Source organism: Homo sapiens, chromosome 5 (assembly GCF_000001405.40).
Source record: "Homo sapiens chromosome 5, GRCh38.p14 Primary Assembly".
NCBI lineage: Eukaryota > Metazoa > Chordata > Mammalia > Primates > Hominidae > Homo > Homo sapiens.
The window spans coordinates 128,006,868-128,026,985 of NC_000005.10; the positions used below are offsets into that span (position 1 = coordinate 128,006,868).

Genomic DNA, 20,118 nt, shown 5'->3' on the forward strand with positions numbered 1-20,118 from the left:
CTAATAAGCAATGTTTTAAAAGAAGGTAAAAAGAAGGAACTAGTGGCTACTTAGATGTCTTCAAATCATGTGTGCACAGTGTGTGTGTGTCTGTATATATATTAATGTACATGTGTGTATATATATATAACAACACATATATACTGGAGACTAAAAATAGAAAATACATACATATATACACTAATGAGATCTTTATTTTTAATTAGTTGGATGCTTGATATTGTCCAACTGATAGTTGGGTAGTAGTTGGGCACAGCCTTGTTTTCAAGCAGTTGTAAGTTAGTGTGACTTGCAGTGATGAAAAAGGAATTCACTGTCATTGGGTTTCTTTTGAGGCAGTGGTTTGTCTGTACTACTTACTTTGCTTGGAGACAACCTTTAATTCTCCACAACTTTAATAAATTGATATGCAGGCTGAACTCATAGATAACAGAAAGATGTCACCCTCTTCTAACTATATCTATCAGAAGATTGTTGACTTTTATTATTTTTTTGCCTTTGACAGAGAGTCATGTGCTTGCTGCCTTGTCAGATGTAAGGCAAAGGTTTATGAAACAAAATACAGTTAGTGACTTAAAAATTCTACTGTCTTTTAAACTTTTCCATAACAGTAGCATCTACTTATTTTATTTACTGAATATGTGAGAAAAAACAATAACCATGTTAACGACAGAAAGCTAAAGAAGCAGCTGCCTTGCAGGTAAAGTCCAATCAATACAGCTTCTAACAGGTATTTTTTCCCTCTATTTATAAGGCCCTCAGCTTTACAGATTACTTCCAGAAGGAACTAGAAAGAGACCTCTTGGAGAAATTCTAAGACACTCCTGAAATGTTCTGGGAAAACTCTACTTGCTGTGGCTGGCTATGGAATAAGATAACAGCAGAGATTTCAGAGACACTCTGCACAAGTCACAGAATAAATAATCAGCACACAGAATTCTATTCACCTGCTAGTAAAGACCAAACAGAAACAATTCCAGAACCCATACCTTTATGATAAGTAGACTCAGTTAAAAAGAAAAAAAAAAGGGAAGATGATTATAAAATAAAAAGAAGAGAGATTTCTTTTGGAAAAGGGCTCTAGAAAAAATGCAAGCTCCAATAAGAAATACAGATTATAAGAGCAAGCAGGGATGAACTTGAAAACATTATGGTAAATGAAGTGAAATGAGCCTGACACAAGAACAAATATTGTTGGATTCCATTTATATGAGGTACCTAGAATTGGCAAATTCTTGGAGACAGAAAGTAGGATTGAGGTTACCGGGGCCATAGAGAGTGGAGAATGGGAAGTTATTATTTAATGAGTACAGAGTTTCTGTTTCGGATGATGAAATGGTTCTGAAAATGGATAGCATAGCCTTGTAAATATACTTAATAACATTCAATTATACACTTTCAAAAGGTTAAAAGAATAAGCTTTATGTTAAATATATTTTATACACTTTCAAAAGGTTAAAAGAATAAGCTTTATGACATGTATATTTTGCCACAGTTTTAAAAATATAATGTAAACAAATGAAAAAAAGCAAGTAAGGAGACCTTGTGATAGAAAGTCCCTCTGATACTAACATGTTATGAACTTACAGAAAAGAAAAAAAAAGTTTTCAGAAGAACTATAAAAAGAAGAAATACATTGGATCCTCATCTGCAAGAATTATACTATGTTACCCATACAGAAAAACAACAGAAAATCAAAAAATAGAACAGAAAGCCAGCTAGCACTGAGCAGTGATATTTTTGAAAAGGGAGGTGATCATAAGTAGGACCGATTCTAATAATATCCTGTCTATTTACAATGTTTTTATAAAAGTTATTGTATTCTGTAGACCACCATCCTTACCTATGAAGAAGAAAAAAGGTAAAAAACAAGCCATTTACTGATAAAACAGTTGGCCAGAGAGGAAGACTGATTCTTTACCACAAAGTTAGAGATACTGAGTTGCAGCATAAAGGGTGAAATTGTATTTAAAGCTTCATAAAGAAAGGAAGGGCCGAGCGTGGTGGCTCACGCCTGTAAACCCAGCACTTTGGAAGGGCAAGGCAGGTGGATCGCCTGAGGTCAGGAGTTCGAGACCAGAAAGGCCAACATGATGAAACCCCGTCTGTACTGAAAATACAAAAATTAGCTGGGCATGGTGGCGGACGCATGTAATCCTAGATACTTGGGAGGCTGAGGCAGGAGAATCGCTTGAACCTCGGAGGTGGAGGTTGCAGTGAGCTGAGATCATGCCGTTGCACTCCAGCCTGGGCAACAGAGTGAGACTCTGTCTCAGAAGAAAAAAAGAAAAACAGAGAGAGAGAGAGAAAGGAAGAAGACGAAATTAGAAAATCTGGCTCCGTAAGGTAATGCCCAACACTTGAGCTTCTGTGATTTTGTGATTCAGAGATCTTTGGAAACATTTTAAACGCTCAGCATCTAGCAGTAAAAAGTGGTTTGTAAGTGTACCCCTGGATTACAGAAAATGATCTATATTTGTTAATAAACAACTATTTAAAAATACTTCTACTGTATATATTAAAGCAGCATTTCTTCAAGATGTAGCAATAGCATCTCCAGGGAACTAGTTAGAAATGCACATTAGTAGGCCCCACCCCAGACCTGCTGAATCAGAAACTCTGAGAGTGGGGTCAGCAATCTGTGCTTTTACAAACCAACCCCCCAAGTGACTGATGCCAGCCAAAGTTTGAGAGCCATTGTTTAGGATGGAAATCAGCAGAGAGGCAGTTAGCAGGCCCAGCAGGTGGTTAACAAGACTGCACTGACCCAAGGGAGAATCATAAGCAGGACTCTTGCTGGAGGGAGCTGCTCCTGAAGAAAGGAACATTGCTGAAGCCCTCAAGGGAGGACTTTCTTCTCCTTTTCCAGGAGGATTTCTTATTTGACTAGGGAATTACTTGTCTGTTGCTAGTGTTAGTAAGCTAGGGTTTTAGAGAAATCTGGAAAATAATTCTTCTCAGGAGACAGCATGAAGACTCCTCCTGCTTTCAGAGCACCTGCTCCCCAGCCTCTTCCTCCACATTTCTTCATATTGGAATATATTTGCAATTTATTATGTCACTCAAATCTTTCAGAATGTATGCTCATCTCACCATTACCAAGAAGACCTCTCAAGTTAGGCCTGCCTGATATCACTATCCAAATATTCTACAATAAAAGGATTTAGCTGGAGATTTCAGGAGCCCCATTAGATGTGTGTGTGTGTGTTCTTTTAATCTTTGGTCTTCTTTCCGTCATGGAGTATCTGGGAACAAGGTCCATATATAAATTAGCAGCAAAACCATCTGTTTATACTTAGATTAAGGTTATGAAACCCCCTTAACCTCAATATGCTGTCAAATGTGACTAATTGTTTTTTTTAAATCCGTGAACATATATATATATATATATATTTAAATCCATGGGCATATGTTTCTTTTATAACATCATCCAGGTTGATGAATATTGACGTTTCTTTGTGCCAAGTCTTATCATCTTTTTCTAACTAGACTGAGAGTCTAATTTAGTTCTACAACCTTAAGCCCATGATCTGCCCCTCAGCACTGATACCTGCCTGTTCCCTTTTCAGGTGTATAACTAGCATTCAAAAAGAACAAGATCCAGCACTCTTTCTTTGTCCAGGCCCTGTTTCCTAAACCGTCATGTATCCTACCTTATTTCCCAACCTCTTGCACTGTGATCTTACCACTTCTCTGCAGCCTCATACCTGTTTCCAACCTGACATTGCTGCTACTTTTTCTTCTATAATTTGCACTGGTCTCTTGAATTATGTCTACTTCTTGAAGCCCCTAGTAACAACTGCACAGGATTCAGGAAACAGCACATCAAGTTAGGATTTCCAGCAGTCTCTTCAAAGAAAGCTGGGTAAACTGAACCATATTTAGAATTACACCACTAAAAAGTGTTTAATAGAGGTTTACCAAATCGTTTTGTTTTTCCTCCAAAACCAAAAACACACACATTCACTCTGTGCCAGTGCTTGCTAATGCCTTAATGCTAAATGTAACTTACCAGCCACCTAACCAAGAATCAGTGATTATAGGATTTATGACTATTGGAAGAGATAGTACACAACTCTAATTAGACCTTTTTAAAAAAATGTCTTGGAGGAGGATTTTTGAACCAATGAAATTTAGAAGAGAGAAAACATAATTTCTAAAACTTTGATAAAGAGACATTATAAGTCATGAAAATATGCATTGACTCTTAGAGTGTTTCAAGGAAATAAGGTAGCCTAATAAAGAGGATTAGCTGGGGAGCCAAATGGAAAATTTAATATACTTTTTTCTCCCTCCTATGTTATTTTCCCTTAATTTTCTTGGAATCTATGTTTGTGAAAGAAATAAAGGTTTGATTTGCAACAGGAATATTTTACTGTCTCCATTACCTGAGGGTAGGCACCAACACTTTAGCTCCATGTATCAGTAAAATTGCCAAAGTTTGAGTAGTTCTATTCAATTCAATAGTAACAACAACAACAATAATGACTGGATAATGCTAGGCAAACTGCAGTGACCAAAAAAAAAAAAAAAAAAAAAAAATCCCCAAGTCATAGTGGCATAACATAATCAAATTTTAATTCATGTTCATACAAAGTCCAATACAGTCTAGGAGCTCTCCTGAGAAGTTCCCATTTGATAATGACTCAGGGATGCAATTTCCTTGCATATTGTAGCTACACCATAGCCAAGGTTCCTGCTGCAGAGGTGGAAACAGATGCAGAAAATACACTGGCATTTAACTGTCCTGGCCCAGAAATGCCAATTTCTCTTCATATTTCATTGGCTAGAGCTACTCACATGACACTAACCTAACTGCTAGGTAGTCTGGAAAGTATAGAAGAGCACCAGAATATCTGGTGAGCCCTAAGAGCCTTTCCCACAAGTAGTGCTGATATATTGATTAATGCTGTCTATATTCCAAGAACTGTGCTAATTAATTTATGTGCATTATCTAGGATCCTCAAAACAACCTTTCAAGATAAGTGTTAATAATTTCACTTTATAAATGAATAAACCAAGGCTCACAAAAATTAACTAATTTACATATATTCTTCTTTCTATCATGGAGTGTCTGGGAACAAGGTCCATATATAAGTTCTCTGATTCCCACAGAAACTTTTAAAGGTTTGTATTAGCTTTGGTTTACAATTGAGCCTCATAAACATAAACTAATTTTCCAAAAGTCAAAGGGCAAAAGTAGGATTTGAACCCTGGAAAGACTCTATCTTTTTACTTCTCCACATGCTGTGTACGAAGTGTACTGCTAGGCTCTGGGGATACCACAAACAAAAGGAAACGTGGCGAGGGGAAAGAGAGAGGCCTTATTTCTACAAAATGACATCAGATACTGCCACATCAGCACCATGCACTGGTGCCCCAAGGGAATGTTCACACCTGGACCAGGGATATAAAGAACATTATTTCCAAAGTCAAAAAGACCAGGCACTTGGTCAGAGTTAGGTTTTCCTTAAAGTGAATAGAGTTTTAGGTTCAGAATCCACAGACAAAAATCCATAATTTTACACAATCAATCATGGGTTGTAGAAATAAAATAAATCTTTTGTAAACAACTAAGAACAAATTTGTATCAATCATGCTAGAGAAAAGTTTATTCTGTTCTCTTTATAGAAAATGATATAAAATTTAAAAATTGTTGACATGTAAAGAGGTAATCAAAGAGCTTACATCCCAAAATACTGGGAAAAGGACAGTTTAATTTCAGGAAGTTAATTTAATTTGTGGTATTTGTCAGCTCTTTTAAACTTGTGTGTGTGATTTCTTTTTCTACGTATATATCACTATCGTAACTACTTTGTGTTATTTTTCTTAGAGAGTCCTCTCCTACCCCCAATTATGTAAGGTTCAGGCCCCCCTAAACCAGGATTCACCCTTGCACTACCACATATTGGCAGGTAAAATGCTCATCTCACTGACCTAGTAGAATTTTATTTTTATTTTTATTTTATTTTAAGTTTTGGGGTACGTGTGCTGGATATGCAGGCTTGTTACATAGAATTGGTGTAAAATTTGAAAACCATGAAAAAATAAAACAATAAAGGATCTAGATGCTAATAATGTGGTTAGTTAACATGTTGACCATTTCAAAGCAAAATAAGTCTTTGATGTTTTATACTATTCATGGCAAGATATAAGTATTTAATCTGCAAAGACGTGGATTTGAAAATTCAGCTGCCAAATGTAAAGAACAGATTCCTAGATTATTATTAATAATATCTCTATAAATATTATATTTATCAATAATGGGTACTATTCAACTTTAAAGGACACCTATGGCTCAGTTAGGCCAGGGAATAAAGATACTTGGATAAAAGTAGTATTTATAAAATGAAGAAAGGGGCCCTTCTGATTCACTGTACATAAAATGAAACACTCTAAAGTCTCTAGGGAGAATTAGAGTTTCTGTCTGGCACAAAATGAAGTCGCCCTCTTGTTAGTAGATATAGGATACATTTAATCACCAAGATATAAAAGGAAATTTGATAGTGCCCAGAAAAAAAAATGCAATGCTAATGACTTGAAATTTAATAAATAATGTTAATGCTTATGCTCAATAAATGCCTGATGGACTTTTCTTTTAAAAAATTTGCTACTATAGTCAACATTTTCAAAAATTCTACTTGGAAAACAGAAATAGCATTTCTCATACTGAATGTCTTTAATAGCATGAAGAGGAAAATGAGACTAAAATAAGACATTGTCTTTATCAGTTTTTATCAGACTACCTAAAACATGTTACAGAGTTCAACTCGGTAGCCCTTACATTCCAGATAATTTTGAAATATACTACTGTTCTTTAACTGGGTAGCTTGTGGCCCAGAGAGATGAATCGATTTGTTGAAGGTAAGTAGTAAATACACTATAAGAATAAAGGTGGGGAGGAGGGGAGGAGAAGCTAGAATCTTGAGCACAAACTCTGAGCACAAACTTAAGAAATTCCAGTAAGTTTCTTAAAATAAATTATTCTATTTCTTCTCAGGAAGACACTAAGACCCTGTTTTCAATAAACTATGATAGCTCCAGAAATAATTTAGTGGTCAATCTGAGAGTCATTTAGATCGATCTAATTATATTCCAATGGCTCTAAATATACTGGGAACTATGGATAATTTTGAAGAATTTAATTCACAGAGAAAGTATAGAAACACAAATCAATAGAGAATGCGTTATGGTAGAAAATCCTTCTCATATAAAAATAGTTCTGTTCACACTTTGTACCTCCTCTAAATTCTACTTCACTCAAATTCTGGGAAACCAAAAAAAAAAAAAAAAAAAAAATCTAAAACTAGATGGATAAAATCCCAGGATCTTTTTTTTTAAAAAAAAAAATCTGGAAAGGATTTTAAAGATCATCTCTTTAGCCTTCAACTCTCTTGTTCTAGAGACCCTGAATGTTTAAATGACTTGTCTGAAATAGTCATTTAGATAGAGGCAGAACTAGGACCAGAAACCAAATCTCTCCACTCCTACTACCACAAGACTGTCAAAAATCACACTGCCTCTTCCCAAACCTTTCCCACTCCCAAAAAAAGATTTTTTTTTAAAAAAGTCTTACAGTGGATAATCACATTAAAAAAGAATCTGAGGGTATATGAGTAGAATTCCTAAGAGTTTAGATTTTTAAGAAAATTTTTATTAAGATAAAACTAATATTCCCAAGAGACAGACATTGGGAACACTATTTGGCTTTAAGGTTAGGAGTGGTGATAGCAAAGGAGCAAAACAGAAAGGTAAAGGCAGGGAGAAACTGTGCAGAACTATACACTCAGTAACCCTATTGTGAGCCATATGCTGGATGCTGAGGAAAAGGAAATGAAAAGCTTTGAAATGCAGCTGTCCTACTTCCTGCTATTTCCATTTGAACCGAACTATTTTTCCACCAGGATCCAACACGTGTGCAGTGACACATGGAAACAGGGTGAGCTTATGAACACAGGGGAATAGTGTCCAGCATTCCCAGCACAGCACCCTGGAAGCACACAGCCACTCCCAACCTCCACCCCAATGGATGGTAAATGTGGAAGAAGACCTATTGATGGAAAAACCCACTTTGGAGCAGAAAAGGAAAGCCAAAAAATAGCTCAGGCACCTGGCTGCCATTTATGAATAATGCCAGCAGACAAAAAACATTAGATCTAAAACATCTTAGTTCGAAAAGATCTTTATTCATTCAAATCATGGCAAGAAACTCCTTCAGGAACACAGGAGATAGTGGTACCAAAAACAGATAACCACGCAAACTATGCAAACTTGGAAAAGTGCATTGCTTTGTCAAAGTTCATTAAGTAGGTCTTAATATTTTAGCAAAAGAAAATCTTCCATCTGAACACAGGGCATGACAAAGCTCATTTCACACAATGGAAGGAAGGCTTTTTTTCTTGTTTCATGTTTGTATGTTTCTGACACTGCAGTATTAACATTTTAAATTGAATCTTTAAATGATTTTTCTGATGTCAACAACATTATTGGGAAGGCCAAGCTCGGTAGATGACCTTAACTGAGGTGGTTACAGCATTGTTCCCGGTAATTCGGCTTTGTGATATATCCTTCTTCTCCTAGGTATTAAGGTCTGGTTTGAATTAAAGTCCGCAGCATACTCACAGCTGTGGGGAGTAACTGAAAGGACTTGTTTTCATCTGATGGCCAAAAGACTTTCTTGTAACATACAGTTTGTACATTTAATTACTTACTTGTTGGGCATTTATTGACCCTCTACACACCTGATGCCAAGCACTGTGCTAGGTATAGATATAAATCCTGACCTAGTTTCAAGCCCTATTTTTGCTGAGTAATTACATTTCAGTGGAGCATGATATTTAACCCCCCTGAGCTCTTAGGTTTATTGTAAAAACTGAATGAGATAATATATGTAAAATACTCAATACATTATGGTTTTAAGATGACAGTTCCTGCCTTTGAATAGCTCGATTTGAAAATGACATGTACATGAATAACCAAAATGTAATATGCTATTTGCTACAGCAGAAGGTGTACTCTATAAGACAGTACAGAGAAAGGAGTGGCTAATTTTGTCTGGAGTGGGGCTGGGAGAAGGTCATCAATGAAGTGTCAGAAAGAAGGTAACCTTGACAGATGAGTAAAGAGGGGAAGAGAGAGACATTTAGAAAAGTTAAGATTAAATCTCCCAGGTCTCCTGGTAGCAGCAGAAAAGTTCACCCCCTCAGGCCACTGATGCTCCCTTTCTTGGAAGTTGAAAGTTGCGCACATTTCCAGCTTTGCCCCACACTGCCTGGCCCTAATGGCATTTCCAAAAAGCATTCTACTGAGGGGACTGATCCTTCCAAGGAAGCAGCTTAGGAAAAAGATAAGATAAAATCAGCAGATGAGTCATAGAGGAACTGAGGGAGAGGGAGGGGAGGACACCATTGGATAAATCTAGAGTTAAAAAATAAAATAGTTAAGATCACATAATACACTCAGGGTGCTGAGGACTTAGTATGTGTTCTACTAGTTTTCTAATAGAAAAAACTACTGGTTAAAAAAAAAAAACCTATTCGCCAAAATGTTAGAGTGTCTGTTTCTTCTAACATGTAAGGGAAGTATTCTACGGTGACAGACAAAGCAATAAGAATATCACTAATGAAGCAGTGATCTAGTATGGAGGTGGCAAATAGAAGAAGCCACTGCCCCCTCCCCTCCCTTTCCTCCCCCTAGGCCGGCATTATAAATTAATCATGGCACACTTTCCTTTTGAGACTGGATGCAACCTCTGATTCTTGGTCTTTATTGTCATCCCTGAACTAGTAGCCCTATAAATAATATGCTGAAAACACAGTGAACAACATGATATTGTGCCCACAGAAAGATCAGTATTGCAGTCTCATTGGTCTGATTAAGAGAATCATATAAACTCTCAAATTTCAACTTGATTCTAGATATTTACTGTGAAATGAGGCTGAGACACAGTGTTGAATATTATGGATTGGTTTACTCAACATTTATGCCAACTCTCTTCTAGCATGCAGAAGCTGGAAAGCTAAAAAACAACATCTCTTGGTCCTTTTACATTCAGGTTTTAGGTTTCAATTCAGAAAGACTTGCATGAAGAGAAAGGTAGAGTTCAACGTACATATTCCTAGAAAGGTCTGTGCTGGAGGCAGCATTGTCTCATGGTCAGCCACAGAAACCCAGGCTTCCTGATCCAGGGTCTTCCTGGCCCTGGTGGAGGAGGTGGCAGCAGCTCATCCGGATGCCCAGTTCTCTAATAAGGTTTGAGAGTCATTCCTGGAAGCTCAACCTAGACCCTGTTTCTTCAGCTCCCTCTGTCACAATGCTTTCACAAACCTCTTAATAGCCAAATATCTTTCAGCTTAAACAGGCCAGACTCTTATCTAAAACTGAACTCTGGCTATAACAAACATGAAAAACTACTGTAGACCATATTCACTGGAAAAAATAATTTGGCAAAAATAGTTCTAATGGCATGGATATTTTAGGTAAAGCTCATATTATTGTAGCTCCAACTGTTAACTCCCTATGAAAATAAATTCAAAATCTATATTTATATCTCCAAAGTCTGACCTTATCTGCCCTCCCATATCTTAAATTGCTTCTTAAACTTCTACACTTGGGTTTTCTGCCATCACCAATAAGTCATATATCAATAATTTTTTTCAATCTTCCCTTTCATTATTCTGGTCACCTGGGCTCAAAACTTCAGCATAATCTCACTTCTCTCTTTGTCCTTTACCAAGCCCTAACAATTCTTTTTTTGCATAATCTCTCTTTCCCATTGGCACTATCATCAATCTAGTTCAGCCTTTTCTCACCTTGTGCTTGCTCTAGTGTAATATTCTCCTGTCTGGTTTCCCCTGTTTTTAGTATCTCCTAATCGCTTTGGCCCACAAATTTTTCCTAGCTATGGCACCCAAATTAGCACTCCTAAAAATCATTCTCATTTTGACACTTCCTGCTCAAATATTTTAAGACTTCCTATACCCCAAATATAAAATTCAAACAATTTAGCTTGGCGCTCAAGGCTTCCACAGTCTGACTGCCAACTATCTATCCAAAATTACTTCCCATTACTTCCCGTCTTAAGCACTATAGCCAACTACAGCCAAACTTGATTCTTCACATTCTCATTACTTACTGAAATACTATTCTGAAGAATCATGTTTTGTACACCATTTTTCCTTCCTTCATTGCTCCTTACTCTCTTCTCTACATTTCATGTAATATGAATGGAAAATCATAAACCTCCTCCATTACAAGGCAAAAAGGGGAGTGAAGACTCCAGAGCTATCTGAATGACAAATAGAAAAGAATTTACTAAATTAGGAAAATAACATTTTAGATTATTTTATTGTTTCAGTCAACTGACTATCAGACATATGTTTTATTTGGATTTTGGGAGAGTTGCAAGTTCTTGTTAGTCTTATGGTTCTCCAGGTGGAAAGGAGACCAACATACTATTCAAATGGACTAACATCATGAAATTATTTACACTGGATGACAGATAATGACAGATAATACACTGGCTTATGTAACTGACTTTTTTGGTGCATATAATTGTGAATAAAGCCAGATAAGAACTTGGTTAACTTCAGCCAATTGAGACATCCATGCAGATGATCAGCTGGCTGAAACTCTCTATCACTACTGTATATTTTTTTTTTCTGTGACAATTTTAGCATCTGCTTCAGGAATGCATTGTTCATTTTATCTATCTCATCAGAGAGCCTCAACTCTACTTGTAAAACAATGGACTGTTTTTCTTTTTTCTTTTCAACCTTTCTCCTGTCCTGCAGTGTGCTTGCACCAGCAGGTAGAAGGATTCTCTTCCAGGTATGCAGCATCCTGACACACATCACCTCTCCCCTCTCCCTGCTCTGCCACTGTACTTTTCCACTTGAGGGCTCTGGCACAGTAGACCAACTGATGCATCTGAATTCACGCTTGCTGATTATGGTCTTAGGCTTATTTTGTTCATCTTGTTTGCTACGTCCATATCACCTAAGGGATGGATGTTTAAGGCTTCAGTGTTATTTTTGGCTTCCCTGCCTATTTTCACTTGTCAAAACCTGAGAAGCTCCCATAATGTTTTCCTGTTAACCAGCTCTTCCATAGATAGTCTGGATGTTTCTCTTCATCTTCTCTTCATACCTACCATGTCCAGTTCATAGAACTCTAGACCAGGCAAATACATTCTTCTCCATTCTAATAAGATGTGTGCCACCAGTAGCCTAAAATTCATCTTCCTATTAATGACAACCATGATTCAGAGACTTCCCATTGTTGGTCCCATCTTGGTAATGTTTTAAATACTTTTAAATACTTATTGCTCATTTAAAGTCACAGAAGTTACTGGGAAAAGGTGAATGACAATGCTTCAAGTCTGTCTGGGATTTTTCCCCCCTAGGACCTTATTGCCCAAATATCCTCCAGAATCCCTTCCTTTCCCAACAAATGGGCTCAACAAGTCTTTTTAGGCTTTCCAAGCCAACTGTTGTGCTAGAGAAAGACAAGAAATAGGTCACACCAAATCTGCATATAGCCACATACAGGGATTCACTTTCTATTCTCCTGACTCAACTGTCAGTTCTCTTTCACCATGCTGGAATCCTGTATTTCCCGGTTTTCTTAATTTTCTACAAGAACTTTGCATTCTCTTTCTTTTTTTTTCTTTTTTTCATTCCCCAAGTCTCTTCACACTCTGCTCAAGCTAGATTGCATTTAGTTCCCACATGTCTGGTTCTTCCCTCTGGCAAGAAGATAAACAGTACTTTCTCTGTCTCCCCCTAAGCCCCATTCCTCTTCAATCTAGGATTGAAATCTGAAATGGAATCCTCACCCTTTGTGACTTCTCTCCACAAATACCTTTCTCAAAAAAAAAAAGGTTAATCATACATTTCTCTGCCCAAAGAAGCTGATAGCTGCTCTCATTGTACTTCATTCACCTATTTTTGGAAAACGTAGACACTTTTAAAACTAAAAAATGAGGGTCTTTGGGCCCTTCATAAATGTAAAACATGCCTGTCTTCCATCTTGTAAACTATAATGATCAAAAGCTTAGATTTCATCACTCATCGGGCCTGGCCAGGTACCCCCGTTATATGTTCTCAGGGGGCCCTATACCTTTCCTTTATTGCCATCTTCAGTGTTATTCTCAATAATTTGTGTGATTATCTGCTAAACAACTGAATTCTTAACCCTGCACCTACCATTACCCTCCAATTTGCTGCTTGCTATCCAAAATATGAATGGAAGGCAGTAGGTTTCACAAGCATCACAGTGAATATTCAGCAGTATATGGAGAGATAACATTTCAACCCACAGCAAAGGCAGACAAGAATGAAGATGCACTGTAGGCATATGCTCTGAATGCAGATGGGCTGACAGCCTGTAGGCACCACAGAAAGCAAAAGAAAGAACTTCTGCTGGTACTGCAGAGTCACTGCAGAAGATTATAAACATGCCAGAACCTTCTGAGCAACAGAGCCACAAGAGACACCTCAGTGGAAAAGGCTGTTTGACTTCAACTCTAATAACCTGAACACGATGAAGGGCAATTAGCCTCAAGCTGTGGCCTCCACCAGGGAGTGCTTTTGGTCACCTTGCAGCAGGTGTGCCTTCCTCCTGTGGTCCAGAGCAGCCCCATACTGCTTCACCATCCATGCACCCCACTTCTCCAGGAAGAATCAAGTTTCTCCTCTCCTGCCTCAAACTGTAACACACTAAATATTTTTTCTCCTGATCACATATCAATTTATTGTGGCTTCTTATAAACCCCTTTTGTGCTTGTTCCTAGGTCATGGAAATCAAGAGTAGAACAAATAATGAAGTGCTCTAGGACAAAGAGAACTGAATTCTAATCCACTGTGCAAATTTGAAGAATTTAAATAGCATTATCACTCTGCTATGACCTGGCTTTTGTCTTGAGCAAGTCACATTGCTGGGCCTGTTTCTTCAGCTGTTAAACAGAGGAGCCACCTGGGTTTTCAGCTAGGGTAGACTCTCTAGGACAGAGTTGGTCAAATTGCGTTTGTAACCATTTGATTGGTCATAAAACCAATTTTTGTAATGGATTGGAATACTTAAGAATACATTGCACAGAACAAGACTATTTGTCTATAAACTTTTGTTCTATCTGTGAGTTGGGTGTTAAACATATTTCTTATTGTTAATAGAACTGAAATGTTTTTAAAATTCTGAGCTACAAATATAGAGAGACAGAAAATAGATTAGTGGTTGTGTAGGGCTAGAAGTAGGAATGGGGAGTGACTGTAAATTGACTTAAAAATTTTTTTTAGGGTGATGGAAATGTTATAAAATTAGATTGTGGTGGTGGTTGGACACCTCTGTAAATATACTAAAATTCATTAAATTGCGCATTTAAAATGGATGAATTTTATGGCATTAAATTACATCCTAATAAAGCTGTTTGAAAACAAAGCAAAATACTGCTCTACAGGGCAGTGAATTTGCTTCAGGGCATCTATGGACTCTTCAAAAGTGTATCATAAATTTTATTTTTCTGGGAAAGAGAACATAGCTTTTATTAGATTCTCAAAGGGATCTAAGACGCATAAAACTTTTTAAGAACCACTAGATTAAACTGTCAATTTCCTCCTACCACTAAAATTCTATGACTCTAAAATTCTAAAGTTTATTTCTTCAAAATTAAAATGATAAAAAAAAGTTTCATTTCCAAAGCACTTGCAAGAATCTGTTTATTTATCCAGTGACCTCAGTGTATTGGCTCACATGTGTTAACATATTTTAAGAAATAAATCACTGTGCAAATTTGAAGTATTTGAATAGCACTATCATTATTTGATTATATTTTTATATATTTTATTATATTTATCTGCATTTGGTTTATATCCACAGGGTTTTTAGTCATAGATACATCTGTAATTTATATGCCAATTACATATGATAATGTTATTTGTACCTCCAATTTTTTTTCTCATATTGGTGATCCCTAATTCCAGGTGTGGTAGAGCTCACAGATCATGCACAATCTTCTCACTATGTGCAGGCCCTTTGGTAGCAAACACAAAAGAAAATCAAGAGATATAAAGAGATCATACAAAAGGAATTTTGTATATCTTCTGTAAACAGAAAGACAGATTGGAAATTTGTAAGCAAAGTTGCAATATGGAAATAGGAAAAGGCATTTCTGAATAAGGGGGATGTTTATTCAAGAGGTTGTGTTAGATCCTTGTGTATGGGCAATGAGCTATCAGCCAACTACAATTACTAGGTTATGAGTTCTTGGATGGAAAGGAATATGCCTACTTTGTCTAACAATGCTAAAAAACAGGCTATATGTACATGATAAGTGATTAGTGTCTGTTGGTAATAACCAAAGGGATGGATACAATCTAATTATCTATCGAGAGGGGACAGGTCAAATAAATTGATATTTTCAAACCTTTATAATAATGAGGTATGTTTACATGTGCTTTTAGAAAATGATCTCCAGAATATATTATTATATGAAAAAAAGCAAAGTTTAGTTTATCCCCTTTAAAATAGTAAAAAAGAAACATAAGAAATATAAGATTTTATATATAATATTTCTAGAAGAATTCAGGATATCTGTTTATGGTGAATGTCCTAAGGAGTAGGACAGAGTTACTGGTGGGAAGGAGAATTGCTTTTCATTGTATACCTTTTTATCCCTTTTGAATCTTTTAATTTATAAGTTCATTAATTTTTCATTTAAAATATTTAAAAAATAGTATTACAGAAAGTAATTCTGTATCACTATGCATTCAGCTCTTTAACATACCACATCCCATTTAATATAAACAACAACTCATCTTATGGATGAATACATGAAGGCTCAGAGACCACAAGTGACTTATATAAGGTCACATAGCTAGACAGTAAATAGCATATTTAATACTTGACCCAAATCCTTGGGCTTCCTACTCACTGATGCTTTTCCCACAACTCCACAGACCAAGTGCATATGGATATAAAACCACAGTACATTTCAACATAGTTCAGTCAGGTCAATTCAGTACTCAAGCATGCTGGTTTTGCTACAGATGACAGATCAAGCTTAAAAGTACTACATGATATTTTTCCACATGGCTCCTGCTCCTTCTAGTCCTTATAATTCTTTCCTATTGGGGCCCAACTTCTTCATTTACATGGCTCTTATCTCTGGCTTCCAGCTTATACATTACTTTTTCCCCATAGCTGTAATTAGCCCCTGAACTCCCATCATCTTGGATCTTCCATGCTACATTCATCGTTCCCTTCCAATATCTTTTATTCCTTTTTTTTAATTGAACTCTTAGCTTCTACCTATTTCCATTTCTTTTTTTCCAGGTACTAAGTTATCTCTCCCTTATTTTATACAACTTCCTATCTTCCTACCTACTCCCAAATTAATAAATCCCAATTAATCAATCAACTCCCAATTAATCAATTATCTCCCAATTAATCAATCTCTGCTAAGAGTTCCTTACCCTTCCACTGAGCATGGCTACTTTGATCCTTTTACCCCAAACATAAGTATTTATAATATTTTTATACCTTTGTATAGTATCCATTTTATAATTTTACCATATTCTTTAATAGCGACTCAACTGCACTTCTCTGATATTAAGACCATGGATAATATAACTCAAGAGTACGTTTTTTTCATACCAACAATTCCATGGTTGGCAGTGTCCAAGTGGTTAAAAACATGTCTCTAAAATTAATAAAACCTGGGTTTGAGTCCTAGTTCTGTCATTTAATAATTGTGTGAGTTTGGGAAATTTTCTAAATCTTATCTGCTTCCCTATTTGTAAAATGAGGAGAGGAATACTTATTTTATAGGTTTCCCGTGATAATTGCGTGGATAATGCAAGCAAAGTGCTGCAGATGTTAGTGGACTCAATGTAAGTAGCAAGTAAATACCCCTCGTCTTAGCCTCACTACCGCATCAGCTCTCCACAAACCTTGCAAAACAAATCTTTTCCTTCTCCAAGACCCATCCCACCCACCTCTCAGCCTCAACACTACCTCAACACATCATCTGTGTTGAAACCAAGAAAATTTCATCATGCCACTTACACTAAGGGATTCATAGGAAAAATACCAAATATGCATCCTTTGGCACAGAATATTTTGTGCCTTACCCTTTTTGGAGTAAAGCTATAAAATTTCCTCTAAGTCATAAAACTCTAGATTTTAATCTCAGACATTTTCTTTTTGGAAACAATTAAAGTCTCTTTGTGCTGCATCAGAATTCACAAAAAAGCTATCCAGTGTCCATTTACATTAATTATACTGGTGATTGACTATGGCTATGCCAGAGAATGTATTCCAGGCTCAAGTTCTACTTTTTGATGACTGTTCTCAGGATCATCAGACACCTGTCCGATGTAGCAGCTGGAATATTTAAGCATCACAGTGCTTTTAAAATAGCAGACAATTGCTGTGGCTGCAAGAAAAAGAAAAATAAATTAATTAAAATAAAATAGCAGATAAGCCAAACCACAAAGACATATTTTAAACCAGGGGGTTTTAACACTGAACACCCTGATTTCAATTTTTTCAATGCTATCTAAATAGAAGTATATTATAATCCAAGATAATACAAGCCTATGGCTCCAAGCAAAGTCAGATGGAGAAAAAAGTAGATTTGGTTAAAGATAAACGAAAAGAAACATTTCTTCCTCACCTCTACACTTTGATTGTAGTTCCTGGAATCAAATCAGAATGGAGCTAGGCTCCCTACAAGCCCCATTGGAATGGATAAGGGAAACTGTGAAAAACTCTAAGGGACCAACAAGTCTTTTGCACTGGAAGGAATCTTCAGAGATTTTCCTGACCCTAGTCTAACTCCAGTCCCCTTGTTTTACCAAGCAGGAAACTGAGGATTAGAAAGATAAACTGAAAGTCCCAACATGAATTCTAAAGATTGTCAAAGGAATCATAATAGTGAGATTCAAAATAATATACCTTCTATTTCTCACCCAGCGCTAGGTGATGAAGGCTGGGTATACAGTATAATTGGTCTAAGTGAGCATTGTAACCCATTGGGTTACCAAATCAGGAATAAGCATGTGACCTAGTATCAATCAAACAAATATAAGGGAAATTTCTATGGGGATTTCTGGAAGGAATTTTGATCCTTAATAAAAAAAAGAAACAGTGAGAAGGACTATATCTTCTTCTGGTTGTGAATGCATAACTTTGAAGATGCAGTTCCTGGAGCTATCATAGTTGTACTGCAAACTTGCCTTAGACAAACCTTAGAAAGAAAATCAAACCACTGAGGGTGGCAGAAGGGAAAGATACAAAGAGCAATGGTCACTGAGAGTACTGTTGAATTGCTGCACCCAAGTAGAATAATTACTAAATTTACTAAAAATTATTGAATTGTGCACTTTCAATGGGAAAAAACTATGGCATGCAAATTATACCTCCAGAAAGTGTAAAAAGCAAACATTTGATTAATTATTGAAATACCTAAATCATTCAGTAAAGGATTTGATGTAAACAACTGGTCTACCCAGTACCAAACAAGATATAAGGATGCAAATATATTCCTTTAGGTGGATTAACAGATGAGTTGTTCTGACTGAAAAATTATTAAGTTAAGTCTAAAGTGAATAAAAGAAGAGAAAAAGGGTACTAAAATGTCAAAACAAGAAGCAATCATTGACAGCTACATTTTAGGAAATATATTCTAATATCTGAGGCAGAACCTCAACTGGGTTTGGACAAAAAAGAAGTATTTGGGGTAAAACAAAAAAGTGTTTAGCATATTCTGACAGTGGAAAAAAAGTAGGGAAGTGCGATTGTTAAGGGTTAGGTTGAGTGTTTCAGTTTGTGCTCAGAAAGGGCTATTTATAGTTATTTAGATTTCAAATTAATATTCAGATATTTTTAAAGGTAAGATATTCTTAAACCTTTGAGGTCAACATCCAAATCTTTCACTTAAAAAATCTAATATTTTTGTATAAAATAAGAATAATCACTTTCAGATGTTCTTTTATTGTTGTTTTTAACTGAACATGAGTTCAAGTAACTCATGTTGAACAGATTACAATCATGTAAATAATTCTGTTTAAATACTTAATTACACTTTGCCACATTTTAAATTATAAATTTAATAGATTTGATTTTTTGCAAGCATTTCAAGTGTCTGCACAGGTACACCTATACCCTAAAAAGTAAGGCCTTCCACAGCTCCTTCATCACTTCTATAGAGCTAATAAATTTTATCTATGAAAATATGAATCACGATTGTTCATAAATATTCCGAAACTGATTTTAATAAATTATTCAAATTCTTATATTTTTCCTCTTAAGTCACATATCTAAACCAAATACATATTTCAAATGAAAGTGACATGTGTAATCTCTTAGATTAAATAACACATACACATATTTCCCTAATGATTGTGTAAAATGTTCTTATATAAAAGCCTAAGTATCATGGGTTTCATTTATTTCATTGCATCCATTTTAATTCTAAACCTTCCTGAGTTTCAAGAGATTTACTCAGTGAAGGAGATTTACCATCTCAAGTATTAATAGAATGAAGTTATTAAATCAAAGTTCTAAGATCTTGATAGTTATTTATTGTTCAGAAATTTAAGACTAGAGAGTGGAACTTGAAATCTATACTTCCATGATTCTTCCAGAATCACAAAATAGATTGCAGCTATTTTATACAAACTGTGTCAGCAAGTCTATGCAGCTCACAAACCAATTTTATTCACCTGACTGGGATAGCTAGAATTCTGCATCCTTACCATGACTGCAATTAACTTCCTTCATGCTCTGACTTGATTCCATTAATTTCCTTACTGTCTGATAGGACTCTGCAAAATTTTTGCATTCTTTTAGTCCTGATTGGATTTTGTATGCCTCTCATACTTTGGTCTGACTCTAGACATACTCATAATCCTTTTAATGACACACTTGACTTTGCAGTGGATCTGGCCCACAGTGTCTTCTATCCTTTAACAGAGTTCTTTTTGTCAAGGATCAGGTGCCAAAGAAGAAAGTTTGTGAGGTCACGAAATTGATGCCCAGGTCATTACTTTCATGATGGAAGGTGATCTATAGTGTTGGAATGGTTAGAGTGGAAGCCAAGCAGGGAATAAGTGCAAGGTG

At 36.1% G+C, this 20,118-nt stretch overlaps 1 long non-coding RNA gene across 10 annotated transcripts in view, besides 2 other annotated features; it reads right to left on the minus strand.

Annotated features, from left to right (window-relative positions):
* The window catches only part of SLC12A2-DT (SLC12A2 divergent transcript), a 142,736-nt gene that overhangs the window by 66,428 nt on the left and 56,190 nt on the right, over nt 1–20,118 (minus strand). For 4 of the 10 annotated variants that reach the window (NR_015360.2, NR_152812.1, NR_152800.1 and 1 more), the window contains one exon: nt 14,684–17,431. The exons of the other annotated variants lie outside the window; for them this stretch is intronic. This is a non-coding gene — a long non-coding RNA (SLC12A2 divergent transcript). Of the gene's footprint in view, nt 1–14,683; nt 17,432–20,118 lie in introns of those variants that run through there. 10 annotated transcript variants of the gene reach the window in all.
* Nucleotides 2,300–2,998: an enhancer, noted in NCBI's record as "OCT4-NANOG-H3K27ac hESC enhancer chr5:127344859-127345557 (GRCh37/hg19 assembly coordinates)". NCBI's record gives its function as "activates a minimal SCP1, AML or CMV promoter by ChIP-STARR-seq in naive H9 embryonic stem cells {active_cell/tissue: H9 hESC(naive)}" and the evidence as "EXISTENCE:reporter gene assay evidence [ECO:0000049][PMID:30033119]".
* Nucleotides 6,677–6,877: a silencer, noted in NCBI's record as "peak5458 fragment used in MPRA reporter construct". NCBI's record gives its function as "represses an SCP1 promoter by STARR-seq MPRAs in K562 erythroleukemia cells {active_cell/tissue: K562}" and the evidence as "EXISTENCE:reporter gene assay evidence [ECO:0000049][PMID:32103011]".